Consider the following 14,111-nt stretch of genomic DNA (forward strand, 5'->3'; position numbering starts at 1 on the left):
TCCTGAGTAGCTGGGACTACAGGCACATACCACCCTACCCAGCAATTTTTTTAAAAAATTTTTTGTAGCGACATAGTCTTACCATGTTGCCTAGACTGGTCTCGAACTACTGAGCTGAAGCAACCTGTCTGCCTCAGCCTCCCAAAGTAAAGTACTGTAATTACAAGCTTGAGCCACCGTGCGTGGCCAAATTCTGGCCTTTTGATGTTGCATGGTGTGGATGGGGAGGCAAAGTGTGATATTTTAGGAATTTGAGGATTTCTTCTTCGACCTTAGGCGTGACATTGGACAAATGACATCTGGGCTGAGACATTTTCTAGTAATGCTGGATCCAAAAAACTCTTATCCCATTGTCTCATAGCTTCATTACACAGACCTGGCGGCCATGATCCTCTTTTTTCCCCCTTAGTTGCCAAACATGGGTTCTCTGTCTTACCTCATTTGAGTCTTACCTCAGTCTTGAGAGTCTCAAATGTGTATCATAGTTTTTAGACAAAATTCAACCTTATTTCAATTAGTATTTCATTGTTATTTAAATATTTTAACAGGAAAACTGAGCAATGTTTCCCTTTACCTGTTAATCCTGTTATAATATTTTAGATAAAGTGTATTAGAAGGCACATTCTTCATTAATAGAATATTTATTCATGTGTTTATATGGTTCTTAACTAGGAATACCATATAGTCTATCTCCAACCCTTTGAGAAGGAAAAAAGATCCTGACTAAACAGGACACCAGAAGGGCATGCCTAAACTAGGACTGTTCTGGGCAAATCAGAAGGCATGTTCACCTTATTCTTTTTATTCTTTCTTTTTCTTTTTTTTTTTTTTTTTTGTGACGGAGTCTCGCTCTGTCGCCCAGGCTGGAGTACAGTGACGCGATCTTGGCTCACTGCAACCTCCACCTCCCGGGTTCAAGCGATTCTCCTGCCTCAGCCTCCTGAGTAGCTGGGACTACAGGCACATGCCACCATGCCTGGCAAATTTTTTGTGTTTTTAGTAGAGACGGGGGTTTTGTCGTGTTAGCCAGGATGGTCTTGAACTCCTGACCTCATGACCTGCCCACTTCGGCCTCCCAAAGTGCTGGGATTACAGGCATGACCCACTGCACCTGGCCTCACCCTATTCCTAAGGCCAGAAAACCAGCTAGAGTAAAGTTCACTTTCTGTTTGAGTGCTTGGACTTTATTGGGAGAAGGCAAATGCCCTGGAACAAGAGTGAAAGGGAGAAATTCCCGTTGTATTGCAAGCCAGAATAAGAGAGGCTCACCCACACTGGCCTAAGGCATCTCAGTTGTTGATGAGAATGTGATTACAGATGTCTCACTTGAATACCAAAGACAATTGCAAAGGAAATTAAAAGTTATGCAAAGAGAGTCGAGAAGTCAGTTGTCTGCTCACAGGTTGGCTTTAGTGGCTATTACTTTGAGATACTAAATGAGCGATAGCTTTAAACTTCAACTGCTTTTGTTTCTGAGGAAAAAAATCATCTTATATCTTTTCATAAGTTGCATAAAAAGTGGACATTTTCTATTATTTTAAAGAGTAAATTTAGGTACAAGCATTTACTAATTTTTTTTTTTTTTTTTTTTTTTGAGATGGAGTCTCGCTTTGTTGCCCAGGCTGGAGTGCAGTGGCGCAATCTTGGCTCACTGCAAGCTCCGCCTCCCTGGTTCACGCCATGCTCCTGCCTCAGCCTCCAGAGTAGCTGGGACTACAGGCGCCCGCCACCACGCCCAGCTAATTTTTTGTATTTTTAGTAGAGACGGGGTTTCACCCTTTTAGCCAGGATGGCCTCGATCTCCTGACTTCGTGATCTGCCCGCCTCAGCCTCCCAGCATTTAGTAATTCTTAAAAGAGTTCAGCATGAATATACACAGTACGTGGGTTATTAGTACTGTGTTGTTAACACAAATGAACTATGATAGCAAATTGAATTTGGTTCAATCAGGTCAAAGAATAAAAGGATGACTTTCTTTAACCACCAGCAAAGGATAGTATAATGAACCCCATGCAACTATCACTTAACTTCAATAATTTCAAGTTTGAGTAAGTTGCAGAGTAGTAATTTGAACCCACATCTCTCTTGTTCCAAATCCCTTGCTTTTAATTACAATCCCATGTGGCTTCTTTGTCATTTGATGCTATTGAGCAACTTTATGATTTTTTTGGTGTTTTTGGTAAAATAGACATGAAAAGGCATTACTACAGGGAGTTTTTTCACTCCCTGGTAATAAGAGGGGAAAAGCACTCTCTTTTAATGATACATGTTTTGTAATAAGCATTTTTTTTTAGTTGCAGTGTTCTGCAAAGACAAAACCTGCTGATACAATTCATCCTGTTTTAGAAATCTTTGACCCATTCATCAGACTCTGACCACTCTAAAGATAAAGGATTATGGTTGTATTGGTTTTTCCGACTGAAGCGGCCTTCTGCAGATTGAGAAATTGTATAATTATTAACTGCGGTAATGGAGATGTACTTGCAAGTTTCATCTGGTATCTTAATGACCTTTAACCCTCTGAGTACACCTAAAACATATCCTAGAATTATTGAAATTAATCAGTTGTCCATAACTTTTCTGTCTGTATAATTTGGCTATCATACATATTTTGTTTCCCCCTGCCCTTGCCAGTTTCCATCCTCCTACTCACATACTCACAACTCCTATAAATTGGAGTATTTAGTAGCAGTAGCCTTTGATATAAACACTTTTTAAAAATTTACTATTTTTTGAATTAATAGGGCCACTTTCTAGTCAAGTTTTTTTTTGGGGGGGGGGTGAGGAGGGTAGGGTAACAGTTCTACACTTACAAGGGTATTTGTTTAGACCAAGCTTGTTCAACCCACAGCCTGTGGGGCTGCATGTGGTCCAGGATGGCTTTAAATGCAACCCAACATGAGTTTGTAAACTTTCTTAAAACATTATGAGTTTTTTTTGAGATTTTTTTTGAGACAGAGTCTCGCTCTGTTGTCCAGGCTGGAGGGCAGTGGCCCGATCTTGGCTCACTGCAACTTCCACCTCCTGGGTTCAAGCGATTCTCCTGCCTCAGCCTCTGGCGTAGCTGGGATTACAGGTGTGTGCCACCACTCCAAGCTAATTTTTGTATTTTTAGTAGAGACGGGGTTTTACCATGTTGGCCAGGCTGGTCTCAAACTCCTGACCTCAAGTGATCTGCCCACCTCGGCCTCCCAAAGTGCTGGGATTATAAGCATGAGCCACCGCGCCCAGCCTGCGATTGTTTTTTTTAAGCTCATTAGCTATCATTAGTGTTAACTGTATTTTATGTGTGGCCCAAGACAATTCTCCTTCTTCCGTTGTGGCCCAGGGAAGCCAAAAGATTAGACACCCCTGATTTAGACAAATAAGTGAAGGCACACTGAAATAACAGTTATATATAATAACCTTGTGCCACCCAGCGCGGTGGCTCATGCCTCTAATCTCAGCACTTTGGGAGGCTGAGGCGGGCGGATCAGCTGAGGTTGGGAGTTCAAGACCAGCCTGACTTACATGGAGAAATCCCATCTCTACTAAAAATACAAAATTAGCTGGGCATGGTGGTGCATGCCTGTAATCTCAGCTACTTGGGAGGCTGAGGTAGGAGAATCGCTTGAACCCAGGAGGCAGAGGTTGCAGTGAGCTGAGATTGTGCCATTGCACTCCAGCCTGGGTGACAAAAGCGAGAATCTGTCTCAAAAAAAAAAAAAAAGAAAAAGAAAAAAAAACACAAAAAAACCTTGTGTTTTGTGGATCTCACATTCATCTCAGATATTTCTTGCCCTGGGAGATCCTCTGAATTCTCAGGACTGCTTCGTGTCATCCCTTTATGCTCTACTATCTTCCCCTGCCTAGAAGGCAAGTAGGGCTTTGAATCTCACCTTTGATTCTACTGTGATCCTATCAAATATAGTAATGCTAGAAATATAGGTCTGAAGTTTGGGAGAGAGATTGGCTCGGTATAGATATGTAAAGCACAGTTGTATATGTGGTAGTTATATGAATGGGATTGGATGAAATTCTCTAGAGGTGTGTGGAATGGAAAGAGGTGGCCCAAGGAGGAAGAGAGAGAGAGAGAAATTGGAGAGGTAGAACAATTTAGGAAAGAGTAATGTTCTAGAAACTAAGGAGAGAGTTTCACAACTGCAGTGGTGAAGCACTGTGAGTTCTTATTTGGCAATTTGGACTTCATTATTGTCTTATCACAGATAGGAAATGAAAGGTTGCAGAACATTTAGGAGAAAATATTAAGTGAGGACACAGAAGCAGTAAATGTCGTATATGCCTTTTAAACATTTTGGAGATTACCCATAGTAGGCCTGTCCCTTGGGTAAGGCAATTAGGGCAGCTTTCCTGGGCCCTATTTTGGGGTGGGGAATGACTCGGGGACTTTATTATATGACTTTTTTTCTGAACATTAATAAAATTCAGTTTCAAAATTTTGTGATTAACTGTAGTCCTAAGAGCCTACGAAAAATGCAGATAATGGGCAGTTCCACATTGGTTGAACTGCCCCAGGCTTCTCTCTTCTAGAGATGCTGTCCCTTCCTTTTAATCCTGTAGTAGCTCCTATCACTTTTTTTTTTTTTTTTTTTTTGAGACAGAGTCACCCAGACTGGAGTGCAGTGGTGTGATCTCAGCTCACTGCAACTTCTGCCTCCTGGGTTCAAGCGATTCTCATGCCTCAGCCTCCTGAGTAGCTGGGATTACAGGTGCGTGCCACCATACCTGGCTAATTTTCGTATTTTTATGGGATTTTACCATGTTGCCTAGGCTAGGCTTGAACTCCTGACCTCAGGTGATCCACCTGCCTCAGCCTCCCGAAGTCCTGGGATTACAGGCGTGAGCCAAGGCTCCTGGCCTCCTGTCACTTTTTATAATTGTCAGTTTGTTTTTCCTCTCAGAAATTAAGCTCCTTAAAGCTCTCTATTATTGTTTTGAATTCCCAGGGCCTAGCATAATGCCCAGCACGTAATGTTTAGTGTTTGTTACGTGAGTGATTGAAGGAATAATCCAATACATATCTGTCTTAAGTACAAAAGAATTCCAATATGGTGGTCTCACAGAGTCAAAAAAGCGGAATGTTTCAGAAAAGAGGGATTGATAAACAGTTTCAAATGGTACTAAAAGTATTGAAAACTGACCTTTGGATTTGGCTTCTAGAAGGTCATTGGCTTCCATAGTGAAAACTTTTATAACAAAATGGTTGGAGTAGAAGTGGTTGAAGATTAAAGGAGAAATGAGATGTAAGAAACAACAAACAAGTTTGTGGGGGCGGGGGGGTTGGTTTTATTTTTAAAGATTTGTAGCTGAGCATGACAGTATGTATCTGTAGTCCCAGCTATTTGGGAGGCTGTGGCTGGATGACAGCTTGAGCCCAGCAGCTTGAGGCTGCAGTGAGCCATGATTGCACCATTGCACTCCAGCCTGGGTGAGAGAGAGAGACCCTAACTCAAAAAATAAAATAAAATAAAATAAAATAAAATAAAATAAAGATTTGAAGCTAAAGGGAAGAAACCATTGGAGAAGAAAGCCAAAGATCTGATGGAGGAGAATTCATTATCATGGTAATGTTATGCATTTGATTTGCATATATCTAAGTATTCCCACCAACATTTTTTTTTTTTTTTTGAGACAGAGTCTCACTCTGTCACCCAGGCTGGAGTGCTGGAGTGCAGTGGCACGATCTTGGCTCACTGCAACCTCCTGGGTTCAAGCGATTCTCCTGCCTCAGCCTCCCTAGTAGCTGAGACTACAGGCTGGTGCCATCACGCCCTGGTGATTTTTGTGTTTTTAGTAGAGATGAAGTTTCGCCATGTTGGCCAGGCTGGTCTCGGACTCCTGATCTCAGGTGATCCTCCCGCTTCGGCCTCTCAAAGTGCTGGGATTACAGGCGTGAGCCACCACGCCTGGCCCCAACCAACATTTCAAGATAATATATTTCTCCTCCCACTTGGGTTTGACATATTAATGTATTTTGAACTTGAAGGCTTTTGCTGTGCTATTTGGGGCCCCTAGTGGTAAATCTAATAATGACATGCAATAGAACAGCTAATATACCAGTTATTCCTTATGAAGGTTATTCTTTCTATGAGGATTAAATGAGGTTGGAATATGTAGTTATAGCAATAGTAGTGATTCTTAATCATTTTTTTAAAAAGAGAGTCTCGCCAGGCACGTTGGCTCACACCTGTAATCCCAACACTTTGGGAGGCCAAGGTGGGTGGATCACTTGAGGTCAGGAGTTTGCGACCAGCCTGGCCAACATGGTGACACCCCATCTCTACTAAAAAAACTAAAATTAGCTGGGCGTGGTGGTAGACGGCTGTAATCTCAGCTACTCGGTAGGTTGAGACAGGAGAATTGCTTGAACCTGGGAGACAGGAGGTTGTAGTGAGCTGAGATCGCGTCATTGCACTCCAGACTGGGTGACAAGAGCAAAACTCTGTCTCAAAATAAATAAATAAAGGGTCTCACTTTGTTACTCAGACTGAAGTGCAGTGGTGTGATCATGGCTCACTGCAATGTCCGCCTCTCAGGCTCAAGTAATCCTCCCACCTCAGCCTCCCTAGTAGCTGGGACTATAGGTGTTCCACCACTATGTCCAGCTAATTTTAAGAAATTTTTTAGTTTTTAAATTTTTTTGTAGAGATGGTGGTCTTACTATGTTGTCCAAGCTGGCCTCAAACTCCTGGTCTCAAGTGATCCTCCCACCTCGGCCTCCCAAAGTGCTGGGATTACCGGTGTGAGCCACCATGGCTGGCCAAAAATGAGTAATTTTTTTTTTTTTGAGATGGAGTCTCGCTTTGTCGCCCAGGCTGGAGTGCAGTGGTGAGATCTTGGCTCACTGCAACCTCCTCCTCCTGGGTTCAAGCGCTTCTCTTGCCTCAGACTCCCGAGTAACTGAGACTATAGGCATGGGCCATCACAGCCGGCTAATTTTTGTATTTTTAGTAGAGATGGGGTTTTGCCATCTTGGCCTGGCTGGTCTTGAACTCCTGACCTCAAGTGATCCACCCCCTTGGCCTCCCAAAGTGCTGTGATTACAGGCGTGAACCACTGTGCTCTGCCCCAAAATGACTAATTTAAAGGTGACTGTAATATAGTTAAACAAATGCCTCTTTTCCCATTCTTTACTAACTTGTTATTTAAATGGGGCAAGTTTTTACAACATAAGAAACAGGCCAGGCGCGGTGGCTCACGCCTGTAATCCCAGCACTTTGAAAGGCAGAGGCGAGTGGATTTCTTGAGGTCAGGAGTTTGAGACCAGCCTGGCCGACATGGTGAAACCCCGTCTCTACTAAAAGTACAAAAATTAGCCGGGCATGGTGGCACAGACTGTAATCCCAGCTAATCAGGGGGCTGAAGCAGGAGAATTGGTTGAACCTGGGAGGTGGACGTTGCAGTGAGCCTAGATGGCAACACTGCAGTCCAGCCTGGGCAACAGAGCAAGACTCCATCTCAAATGAAACAAACATACTAAAAACCTATTAACTTGTTTGATGTGAGTGTGCTTAGCTTTATTTCCCTTAAAGAGAGTCTTTTTTTGAGATGGAGTCTCACTCTGTTGCCCAGGCTAGAGTGCAGTGGTGCAATCTAGGCTCACTGCAACCTCCGCCTCCTGGGTTCAAGTGATTCTTCTGCCTCAGCCTTCAAGTGGCTGGGACTACAGGCATGTGCTACCACGCCCAGCTAATTTTTTGTTTTTAGTATAGACGGCGTTTCACGCTGTTAGGCAGGATGGTCTCGATCTCCTGACCTCGTGATCCACCTGCCTCGGCCTCCCAAAGAGCTGGGATTACAGGTGTGAGCCACTGCGCCCGGCCTAAAGAGAGTCTTTAGGTGAAAAATTTTTGTGAATATTGTGATTTCTCCTTAATAATTTCTTGTGTATTTATGAATTTATATAATTAAATGGCATATCAAAAAAATCACCTATGTTAATTATGTTTTTGACTCAGTTATATTTTCTTTTGGTACATTATTAAGTTAATATCCATATGCAAAAATATGCTGACAATATATTAATTTTGGATTTTTCATTTTTATCAGAAATCATGAGTGGAGGATCTCAAGTCCACATTTTTTGGGGTGCTCCAGTTGCTCCACTGAAAATGACAGTATCAGAAGACACAGCTTCTTTAATGTCTGTTGCTGACCCCTGGAAAAAAATTCAGCTTTTATACAGTCAACATTCTTTATATCTGAAGGATGAAAAACAGCACAAAAATCTTGAAAACTATGAAGTCCCAGATTCTATTGGTTCTCCAGATCTTTGTGGTCATTTCTTAGCAAACTGTATGAATAGACATGTTCATGTGAAAGATGACTTTGTACGTTCTGTTTCTGAAACACAGAATATAGAATCCCAGAAGATTCACTCCTCTAGACTGAGTGGCATAACTAGCTCTAATATGCAAATATGTGGATTTAAAAGCACAGTTCCGCATTTAACCGAAGAAGAAAAGTATCAAAGCTTCTCAGTGAAAATAAAATTAGAGATGAACAGCCTAAACATCAGCCAGATATATGTGGTCAGAACTTTAACACAAATTTGTTTCAGTTGGGCCATAAATGTGCAGCTGTGTTGGATTTGGTTTGTAGTACTGAAAAAATTAATATAGGGCCTGAAGTGGTACAAAGAGAGTGTGTGCCAACAGAATATCATGAAATACAAAACCAGCGTTTGGGATTATTTTCCTCGAACTCAGTAGATAAGTCAAGGTCTGAAGCAGCAGTTAAGAAGGTCTCAGACCTTAAAATATCAACTGATAAAGAATTTCTCAGTATAATTACCTCCAGCCAGGTTGCTTTTTTTAGCTCAAAAGAAAGATAAAAGGCGGAGTCCTGTAAATAAAGGGAATGTAAACATGGAGACTGAACCAAAGGCAAGTTACGGGGAGATAAGAATACCTGAAGAGAATTCGATTCAGCTTGATGGTTTTACAGAAGCATATGAAAGTGGACAAAACCAAGCATATTCCCTTGAACTTTTTAGTCCTGTTTGTCCTAAAACAGAAAATAGCCGCATTCACATAAACTCTGATAAAGGTCTTGAAGAACATACAGGATCTCAAGAACTTTTCAGTTCTGAAGATGAACTGCCACCAAATGAGATACGTATTGAGTTGTGTAGCTCAGGAATACTGTGTTCCCAACTAAATACCTTCCACAAAAGTGCTATTAAAAGAAGCTGTACCTCTGAAGATAAAGTGGCCCAGTCTGAAGCTCTATCTAGAGTCCTTCAAGTAGCTAAGAAAATGAAGTTGATTTCTAATGGAGGAGATTCTGCTGTAGAAATGGATCGGAGAAATGTGTCTGAATTTAAGAGTATTAAAAAAATCATTAATAAAAAACTGTGATTCTAAAAGCCAGAAGTATAATTGTTTAGTCATGGTGCTATCTCCATGCCATGTGAAGGAAATAAACATAAAATTCGGACCAAATTCTGGCTCTAAAGTGCCTTTAGCAACAGTTACAGTAAGTGATCAATCAGAAACTAAGAAGAAGGTTTTTCTGTGGAGGACTGCAGCATTTTGGGCATTTACAGTGTTTCTTGGAGATATAATTTTACTCACGGGTGAGGTCATTATGGTATAGTGGTAGCTTATTTTATAAAGCTAAGTTTTGTTTGTTTTTGTTTTCTCCCACTTAGTCTTTGAAGACTCTTTCTTTAGTCATTTGCCTCTTCTGAGCTCAGCATAATTGATCCCTTTATTGCATCTGCATTGCTCTCCTTTCCATTGTCCACTCTCCTGCCCATTGCCACTTCTGGGCCTCTGTTCTATCCTTCTCAGCTCTGCCCCTTCTTTCCACTTATCCCCTCCTTTAATAAGCCTTCCCTAGTCAGGTGGAGTGGGTCACACTTGTAATCCCAGCACTTTGGGAGGCTGAGGCAGGAAGATTGCTTGAGGCCAGGAATTTGAGACCAGCCTTGGCAACACAGAACCCGTCTCTACAAAAAATAAATTAAGTTTTGCGTGCCTGTAGTCCCAGCTACCCAGGAGGCTGACATGAGAGGATTGCTTGAGCCCAGGAGGTTGAGGCTGCAGTGAGCTTTGATTGGGCCACTGCACTCTAGCCCAAGCAACAGAGTTAGACCTTTCTGCTTCTTTACCTAATGTCTAATAATGCTGTGCACATTGTGTTTTTACTGTGGGAACAGTTATTGATTTCTGTTGCCTTATTTTATTATCAAAATTATATTAATTACACTTGGAAATATGGAAAGGAAAAAACTGGTATTATACCAACTTCATATAACCACCAATAGAGTTCGAGAGTGTTGCCTTCCAGTTATTTTCTCTGTTCTCCTTAAAATGTGTGTGCATGTGTGTATATATCACACATAGAAGCTCATATTTATTGGGAGCTTAGTTTGTGAGACCCTGTTTTAGATTTTACATGCATATTTCATTACAACAAGTATATGAGGAAGGTACTGATTTTTATCCCCACTTTTCAGTTGAGGAAGCTGAAGCCCAGAGAAGTAAAGTAACTTGTCCAATGTCATACATCTAGGAAGTGGCAAAGCTATAGTTTCTCCTAGACTCCAGAATTTATACTCTTACTATATAGTTGTAACCATAAAGAACATTTTGTTTTTTTAATTTTTAATTTATTTATTTTTAAGAGACAGAGTCTTGCTATGTTGCCAAGTGCAGTGGGTACTCACGGGCACAATCCCATTACTGATCAGCATGAGAATTTTTGAATTGTTATTTTTAATTTTTTGTTTGTTTGTTTAATAAGGACAGGATCTCACTGCATTACCCAGTCTGATCTCCAACTCCTGGGCTCAATTGATCCTCCTGCCGCAGCCTCCCAAAGTGCTAGGATTACAGGCGTGAGCTACCGTGCCCATGGTATTTTTAACATGCCCTTGTTTCCAACCTGGACCAGTTCACCCCTCCTTAGGGAACCTGTGGTCCTCCACTCCCAGGAGGTCACTATATTGATGGCAAGCTTAGTGCAAACACCTGATCGGCTACAACTCTGAACTCCTGGGCTCAAGTGAGCCTCCTGCCTCAGTCTCCCAAGTAGCCAGGACTACAGGCACGCATGCCGCTGCACCCAGAGAGAATATTTAATTTTTTTTTTTTTTTGAGACAGTCTTGCTCTGTCACCCAGGCTGGAGCGCAGTGGCACAATCTTGACTCACTGCAACCTCCGCCTCCTGGGTGCAGGTGATTCTCCTGCCTCAGCCTCTTGAGTAGCTGAGATTACAGGTGCAAGCCACCATGCCTGGCTAATTTTTGTATTTTTAGTAGAGACGGGGTTTCACCATGTTGGCCGGGCTGGTTTCGAACTCCTGTCCTCAGGTGATCCGCCCACCTCGCCCTCCCAAAATGCTAGGATTACAAGTGTGAGCCACCGTGCCTGGCCAGAATATGTTTTCACCGAAGACATCTAACATTGTGTTACGTGTTCTTTGTTGATTTAAAATTGACACATGGTGTATTAGAGCAGGAGGAAGTTGATTAAGCTTAATAAAATATCTAAAGAAAGAATGTGATACAGAGGCGGTATTTAGAAAAAGAAAACTTCGAAGCAATATTGATAGTCCTACCAAATAGTTTACAGGAGGAATGAGAACCTTAGCTAATGTACCTTGGTGTTCCTGTAGGATTGTCAAGTACAATCTTTTTTTTTTTTTTTGAGACGGAGTCTGGCTCTGGCACCCAGGCTAGAGTGCAGTGGCGCGATGTCTGCTCACTGCAAGCTCTGCCTCCCGGGTTCACGCCATTTTCCTGCCTCAGCCTCCCGAATAGCTGGGACTACAGGCGCCTGCCACCGCGCGCGGCTAATTTTTTTGTATTTTTAGTAGAGACAGGGTTTCACTGTGTTAGCCAGGATGGTCTCGATATCCTCACCTCGTGATCCGCCCGCCTCGGCCTCCCAAAGTGCTGGGATTACAGGCGTGAGCCACCGCGCCCGGCCGAGTACAATCTTTTATAAAGAGGTAAACACAAAATTGTAATGAACAGGCTTAGCATAGCCACATCCCACTGGCAATATTAGCTAATATTATTTATATGTGATTATATTATTGGAGGTTCAATTCACCTAACTCCCTCTGTTCTGATTCAGTGCTTGCTGAATACCTCTTTGCTTGTGATTTGGCTTTCTAGTTGTAGAGCTGCCCACAGCATGAGAACAGGCTGAAATACTGTTTTTTTTTGGGCAATTATTGTAAATGAAAAAAAAATGTTTTTTTTCTTTAATTTGTTTCATTAATTGATTTAGTATGAGCTTATGTTGCAGAGCTGAAATCTAGTTTTGGAGTGTTAACAAAATTAAGTTTCCCAGACTGTAAAAGAGGGCTGGATCCTGGACCATGGTCATTTTACCGAGGCAATTAATGTCAGCAGGGACCTCTCAGGGGCCTTTTCCGTTTTCCTAGGTAGGTGTAAACTCAACTCTGCAATCTCTGTATTTTTTCCTAACATCTCTATAGTTGTTAACGACTAGGTAACATTCTCTCTGGTGGCTGTAATGCAATTTACTTAACCATTTTCCTATTATAAGACATTTAGATGATTTCTATGAACTTTTTTTAAAAAATCAGATTTTTTTTGTCTTTTTAAGAAAAAGAGGATCTAGTTCACCGAATTCTGAATAAGTTTCTTTTGTGTGGAACAGATGGAAATGTTGGGAAAAAAAAGAAATCTACACTTTTCTGTTGTCCTAATGAGTCAGTGAACTTAGTTGGATAGCTTGGGTAGTTCATACTACCTATTGATATATACCCCCAAACAGAAATCTTCCTTTTTTTTTTTTTTTTTTTTTGAGATGGAGTCTTGCTCTGTTGCCCAGGCTGGAGTGCAGTGGCGTGATCTCTGCTCACTGCAACCTCTGCCTCCTGGGTTCAAGTGATTCTCCTGCCTCGGCCTCCCAAGTAGCTGGGACTACAGGAGCCCGCCACCACGCCTGACTAATTTTTGTATTTTTAGTAGAGGCAGGGTTTCACCATATTGGCCGGGCTGGTCTCGAACTCCTGACCTTGTGATCTGCCCACCTTGGCCTCCCAAAGTTCTGGGATTACAGGCGCGAGCCACCGCGCCCGGCCCATACTGAAAAATTTGAAGTAACAGATGTATTCCAGACCTTGTTGAATACCAACACAGTAGACAGTTTGCTATTATAACTTCTAGCAATAGAATGAAGAGATGCCAAAAATAAGGATTACCTAAGGGAGACTACTGACTAGAATTAGAAGAAGATGGGAGGCTTAACATTGGGAAACCACAGTGTTTAAAGGACAAACAGAATAAGGACTAGGAGCTGGGGCATGTCAGTGAGAGGGTAGGAAGGAGCCAGGAGGCCAGGGCGGGCTACCCATCCCCTCCATGCACCACTAGTGATTACTATGTCACTAATCCAACATAGGCTTCACAGTCCTAGCTTTCAGAATGCTCTCCTTGAAATTTCTTGTCTGTTCCTTTTTTCTGAAGAACATGCATCCTGAATGTTGGATCATGAAAAGTCTTGAATGCTGTACTAGCTCTTCCTGGCTAGGCAGTGGGGAACCACTGTTTTTTAGTAAGTCACCTGAACTCATTAATGCTCTGATATATCACTCGCCTGAACTCATTAATGCTCTGATTAATGACTCATTAGCATTGTAAGAAATGGGTTGCAGGCGGGACAAGCACCTGTTGGGAGGGAAAGGAATGTGTAATGTAAAACAGTAGTAGTGGTGGGGCATGGGCACATTTAAGCAGCAGAGGGGTAGGTGGGAGCTGGTGGCAAGGAGTGGGAAGGGAGAGGCAAGATGACTTCAGATTTTAGTTTACTTGATTAGCAGCATAGCATCAACAAATGAGTTGGGCGCTATGAAAGGAAAAGCAGATTTGGACATTGCTGAGTTTGGGGAGCCAATGGAATATCCAGGTGGGAATTTCCATTAGGCAGTTGTAGATAAAAGGTTCAAAAGCTGAGGAAAGGGTCTGGAATCTAAATCTGTAAGTAATCACTTGGAATTTATACATCCTTGGTTTTCTTTCCTATTATCTCTAAATTATTTCACTATTGTTAATATACGTTTATACCTCTGACACTGTATGCTGATTAGATCCTGCCTTAGAGATAGCTCCCTTCCCCTCTTTCTCTTT

General features: G+C 42.0%; 1 protein-coding gene and 2 pseudogenes across 2 annotated transcripts in view; 1 reads left to right on the plus strand and 2 right to left on the minus strand.

The window, feature by feature from the left end:
• ANXA8 (annexin A8) overlaps positions 1-14,111 on the minus strand; it is a 523,804-nt gene that overhangs the window by 213,660 nt on the left and 296,033 nt on the right. The window lies entirely within an intron of this gene.
• SHLD2P3 (shieldin complex subunit 2 pseudogene 3) overlaps positions 8,048-14,111 on the plus strand; it is a 41,519-nt pseudogene continuing 35,455 nt past the window's right edge. The window contains exon 1 of the transcript NR_027634.1: positions 8,048-9,577. The product of NR_027634.1 is annotated as a shieldin complex subunit 2 pseudogene 3, transcript variant 1 (transcript). The remainder of the gene's footprint in view (positions 9,578-14,111) is intronic.
• Positions 10,747-11,075, minus strand: RN7SL453P (RNA, 7SL, cytoplasmic 453, pseudogene; annotated as a pseudogene).

This window comes from Homo sapiens, chromosome 10 (genome assembly GCF_000001405.40).
Source record: "Homo sapiens chromosome 10, GRCh38.p14 Primary Assembly".
NCBI lineage: Eukaryota > Metazoa > Chordata > Mammalia > Primates > Hominidae > Homo > Homo sapiens.